Source organism: Homo sapiens, chromosome 1, assembly GCF_000001405.40.
Source record: "Homo sapiens chromosome 1, GRCh38.p14 Primary Assembly".
NCBI lineage: Eukaryota > Metazoa > Chordata > Mammalia > Primates > Hominidae > Homo > Homo sapiens.
Window position 1 is genome coordinate 67,430,847 of NC_000001.11, and position 5,729 is coordinate 67,436,575.

The window sequence follows — 5,729 nt, forward strand, 5'->3', positions numbered from 1 at the left end:
TGTTGCTGAGGCGCCGCGCCGGCCGCGGGTAGGCTGGACCCTGCCTGTGCCAAGTCCGAGCTGCTCAGTTGCTGGAGTGGCCCTCCGTCAGCCTCCACGGTGAATCGAGGCTCTTCTGTCTAATGTGAGGGGGAATACGTTTCCTCTCGCGGGGACATGAACTAGGGTAGCAGAACTAACCAAAAAGACAAGTGAAACTATCACATGGGAGCGTGGCGCGTCTTTCCCGGGCTTCTCACCGTGTGGCGGCGGGTGTCGTAGGAGTGGTTAACTCCTGACGGTGCAGCGCTAGACGCGGGGCAAGCCTCCAGGAAGCACTGTTTATAGAAACCCTGTTACAATTATTCCAATTAATCGTCCGTTCGTGTCCGGCAAGTCAGGGCTTAGGTGGCTGTGTTGTTAGTCACATGCGCTCAATACATATCATTTGAGAACATTTCGAGTGCATGTGTGCTAGGAGTTGCGGTGAGGGGAGGGAAATATTGAAGTCAACACTTAATAATGACAAAGCATTGATACTAGTTGAGAATATTAAAATTCATTAAAAGAATACAATTTGAATGCGTATTTAAGCACATTTGGTAGCACCGGGTTTAAGTATATCATAATTTTTAAGTCCTTTTCCATTAACACAAAGTAGCAAATGCATCGCTTATTTGGTAGGAGCTATGAATAACCTTGAACTCAACATTTTGTTAGGCAAATAGTTTGCCTCTTTTCACAAATGTTGAAACCACTTCAGAGATGAAATGATTTACCAAATTCACACCTCTGTAAGTGCTAGTGACAGGCATTAGCCCAGTATTCTATCTCCACTAGGAGACTGGACATCAGCTCTTTAATTCAGACTGCCCTGATAGAAAGCAGTCCAATTTTTAAATTTCCGATATAATTTAAACATTGTTGCGTGTCAGGATATGTAACATGGCGGAATGTAATCATCAATTTCCGAGCAGATTTTAAATCAATTCCTTAGCAGGGAAAATAGAAGACACGAGTCATATTACATACATGGGGCAGCAAGCCTCCTGGTTTTCTTGTTTCTCAATCCTCCCCTATTCCTCACTTATTTCCCTGCTGCCTCAGTCCTGCACCCTGCCCACAACGCCCAACCTCAAACACACCCCCTATCTCATCCCCCCTTCCACAGGCTCTGGTTCTGTGGCACCTACCAAGACAAGGAGCTTTTGACCATACTCTTCCCACCTTTTTGAAATAGCTCAAGTGCAATGTAGAAGATCTCCACATTTTGACAGATTTTCTCTCTTCACGGGCTGTTGCGTCTCTGAGACTGCCTGCATCTTTGAGACATCTGTGAAAGCTCCTCTTCTTAACTCTTTCTGGCCACGGCCACAGTAACAATATTCATACTAAAACGTGATGTTTTAGTGTGTGCTTGGTGCACTTTACATACGTGATCTCCTTTAAACCTTACATCAACTCTATAAGAAAGTTATTACTCCATACCTCCCCCCCGCAAAAAAAAAGTTATTGCTCCTGTTTTAAGATTAGGAAAATGAAAACAAAGAGCTTAAGTAAGTTAACTACTCCTGCCACAATCTGGGGGGTGGGGCAGGCCTGTTGTTATTCATTTTTCTCCTCCATTACAGATTTCTGGTTTGCTCAAACAGAGCTTCGTAACCACCAAGCATTATTACAATAAGAATATTTGAAAATAAGCTACACATAGAGGAATTTTCTGGCTATGAATTTATGAGGTTCATTTATGCTCTTCAGAGAATTTACCTATTAAGATTACATAAAAATGTTATGAATAAGCATTTGGAGAAAAGGGGAGAATCTTCTATATTTCCAAAAAGTTTTGAAGCCCATTTTTAAAGTATACAAATAAAGCTCAAGGTGGTCTTTTACATCTCTCAATCGTTATTTTATAACTAGTTATTTTCACTAATGTTTCCTTTATTCTACAAAATTGAAATATTAATTTCTTAATATTAAATATTAAAATGTCTAAAAGTTCTTGCTACTCTCAATAGGAGAACATCAGCCAAATAAACCTCAAGGGAAGAGAAATTTCCTAGACACTATTATTCAAATTAAAGAAATGATTTATGAAAGCAACAAGTGTCAGACGATATCACTAGACATGTGGCCTAAAATGTCATCTCTCTGTAGCAATATTTGAATCACATCTTCTTCTCTGAAAAATACTCATGAAACTTCACAGTCTTATCTACAAGGATTTTCTAGCAATAAATGCTGAAAACCATGATTAAATATCTGATAGAGTTGCCTAATGTTAACAAAATGGAGAAACAATATTGTATCTCCTTCCTTCCTGCCTTCATTTACTTTCAGGATGCTAATACAGTACTCAATTCTCAGCCACATTACAATCTGCTTTCATCCATTTCTTGATAATCTCAACCCCGTTATTGTTGCTATAAATAGTAGCAATGACTAACAATTGCTGTACTACATTTTTTTGTACCCATGTTCAGTTGATTCTCCTGCCTCAGCCTCCAGAGTAGCTGGGATTACAGGCCTGTGCCACCACACCCGGCTAAATTTTTGTATTTAGCTGAAATTTTGTATTTAGACAGGGTTTCACCATGTTGGCCAGGTTGGTCTTGAACACCTGACCTCAAGTGATCCACCCATCTTGGCCTCCCAAAGTGTTGGAATTACAGGCGTGAGCCACTGCACTGGGCCTACTGTACTACAGTTTGAGCATTTATTATGCACTAGACACTGCTAAGTACTAAATACTTTACATGCATTATTTCCTTTAATTTTCAGAATGACATTATGAAGTAAAAGGTATTACTACCTCTATCCCCCTTTTATAGATAGGGAACCTGAGGTTAAGTGCCCCTCCCAAATTCACATTGACTGAAAGAGTCTGGCAGTCTGACCTTACAGCCTGGGCACCCAGTGGTAACACGGAAGAGGAAAAAGTCCTTCATCTTTACATTGCTACCATATGTAGCAAAATCAAACTATTCTAACAGTTTGGGGACAGAGGATATAGGCATCACATCAATGTAAGTAGATTAATTTTTAGCGTATTCAATGTATAATGTATTTTTAAAACAAAACCACTAAAGGTGCTCCTTGTGAAGAAAAGGACAAATCCCCTATGTCTGACAATGGAATGCTAAGTATAATATTGCAAGTCTAGGCTCGTGCTAAAGTTAGAATATCAGAGCTAAAAATAGAAATGTTACACTCCTTTTTCCACCTCAAACTCACTTTGAAAGTTGGGCTTCTTGGTTTTAAACTTCCTTTTTTTTTTCTGTGTTATGCTCTTCAAAAAAAAAAAGGAGAACATAGCTATATAGAGATATAATTCATGTGCTATATAATTCACCCACCTAAAGGATACCAGTTAATGGTTTTTAGTATATTCACAGAGTTGTGCAGCCATCACCACTATCTAATTTTAGAGCATTTTAATCACCCCTGAAAGAAAACTATACCCATTAGCAGTCATTCCTTATTCCTTCTACCCCCAGCCCTAGGCAATCACTAATTTACTTTCTGTCTCATAGATTTGCCTATTCTGGACATTTCATATAAATGGAATCTTACAATGTGTGGTCTTTTGTAACTGGCTTCTTTCATTTATCACAGTGTTTTCAACGTTCATGCGTGTTGTACCATTTATCACTACTTCTTTTTTTTTTGTAACTGAATAATATTCCACTGTATAAATAAACTAAATTTTATTTATCCATTCATCAGTTGATGGAAATTTGGGTTGTTTCCACCTTTTGTCTATTATGGATAATACTGTTAGGATTATTTGTTTGCAGGGTTTGGGTGGACATATGTTTTTGATTCTTTTGGAATGGAATTGCTGGGGTCATATGGTAACTCTATGTTTACATTTTGAGGAACTGCCAAACTATTTTCCAAAAAGGCTGCACAATTTAACAGTCCCACCAACAATTATGTGAGTTCCAAGTTCTCCACGTCCTCACTAATGTTTGTTATTGTCTGTCTTTTTTATTATAACCATTCTACTGGGTGTGAAGTGGTTCTGCTTGTGGTTTTTTATTGCGTTCCCCTAATGGCTAATGATGTTGGGCATCTTTTTACATGTTTATTAGCCATTTTTGTATCTTCTTTGGAGAAGTGTCTATTCAGATCCTTTACCTTTTTAAAAACTGGTGTACCTCTCTTTTTTATCATCACATTGTAAGAGTTCTTCATATATTCTAGATGCAAGTTTCTTATCAGATATAGGACTTGCAGATATTTTTTTTCCCCATTCTGGGGATCGACTTTTCACTTTCTTTTTTTGTTTTTCTCTTTTTAATTCTTTTATTCTTTTGTTTTTCTCCCATAGCCAACATCATAAGACTTTTTACTTTGTTGATAGTATCCTTCGGGGCATAAAAGTTTTTAATTTGATGTGATCTTTATGATAAAATCCAATTTATCTATTTTTTTGGTCACTTGTGCTTCTATTGTCTTTTTTTGTTTTGTTTTTTGTTTGTTTGTTTTTGAGATAGGGTCTCACTCTGTCACCCAGGCTGGAGTGCGCGGGCTGATGAAGGCTCACTGTAGCCTTGAACTCCTGGGATCAAGTGACCCTCCCTCCTCAGTCTCCCGAGTAGCCGGGATGACAGGTGCACGCTAGCACACCGCCTAATTTTTTGTGTGTTTTTTGTAGAGATGGGGTTTCACCATGTTGCCCAGGCTGGTTTCAAACTCCTGAGCTCAAGCGATTCATCCACCTCGCCTCCCAAAGTGTTGGGATTATAGGCATGAGCCACTGCACCCAGCCCTCTATTGTCATATCTAACAAGCTTTTGCCTAATCTAAGGTCACAAAGATTTACTTCTATGTTTTCTTCTAAAAGTTTTATAGATTTTTACACCAGGCGCGGTGGCTCATGCCTGTAATCCCAGCACTTTGGGAGGCTGAGGCAGGTGGATCACTAGGTCAGGAGATCGAGACCATCCTGGCTAACACGGTGAAACCCCATCTCTATTAAATATACAAAAAAAATTAGCCGGGCGTGGTGTCAGGCACCTGTAGTCCCAGCTCCTCGGGAGGCTGAGGCAGGAGAATGGTGTGAACTGGGAGGTGGAGCTTGTGGTGAGCCGAGATGGTGCCACTGCACTCCAGCCTGGGCAACAGAGCGAGATTCCGTCTCAAAAAAAAAAAAAGTTTTATAGATTTTTTTAAAAATAGTTTTAGGCCTTATAGCTAGGCCTTAATCTTTAAAAATTAATTTTATGGGCCAGGTGCGGTGGCTCACGCCTGTAATCCCAGCCTTTAGGATGTCGAGGCAGGCGGATCACGAGGTCAGGAGATCGAGACCATCCTGGCTAACATGGTGAAACCCCGTCTCTACTAAAAATACAAAAAAATTAGCTGGGCGTGGTTGCAGGCACCTGTAGTCCCAGCTACTCGGGAGGCTGAGGCAGGAGAATGGCACGAACCCAGGAAGCGGAGCTTGCAGTGAGCCGAGATGGCGCCACTGCACTCCAGCCTGGACAACAGAGTGAGACTCTGTCTCCAGAAAAAAAAAAAAGAAAAAAATTTTGTGTTCAGTATATTCCCCTTCTTTTTAAGTTAATTTTGAATAGTAAAACCAAAAAGAAAAACTTCAGAAGAAATAGAAGAGATACTGTTATTCATCTTATGCTTCTTTTAAAAATATTTTATTTTAGACATTACAACAGAGCTCCAGTTTTTAAATTTAAATACATCCAATGACATTCTGAATGTGGAAAATATATTTCACACTTACTACT

At 39.5% G+C, this 5,729-nt stretch overlaps 1 annotated feature.

Moving 5' to 3' along the window:
- Positions 28–207: an enhancer, noted in NCBI's record as "active region_1180". NCBI's record gives its function as "activates an Ori minimal core promoter by ATAC-STARR-seq in GM12878 lymphoblastoid cells {active_cell/tissue: GM12878}" and the evidence as "EXISTENCE:reporter gene assay evidence [ECO:0000049][PMID:35858748]".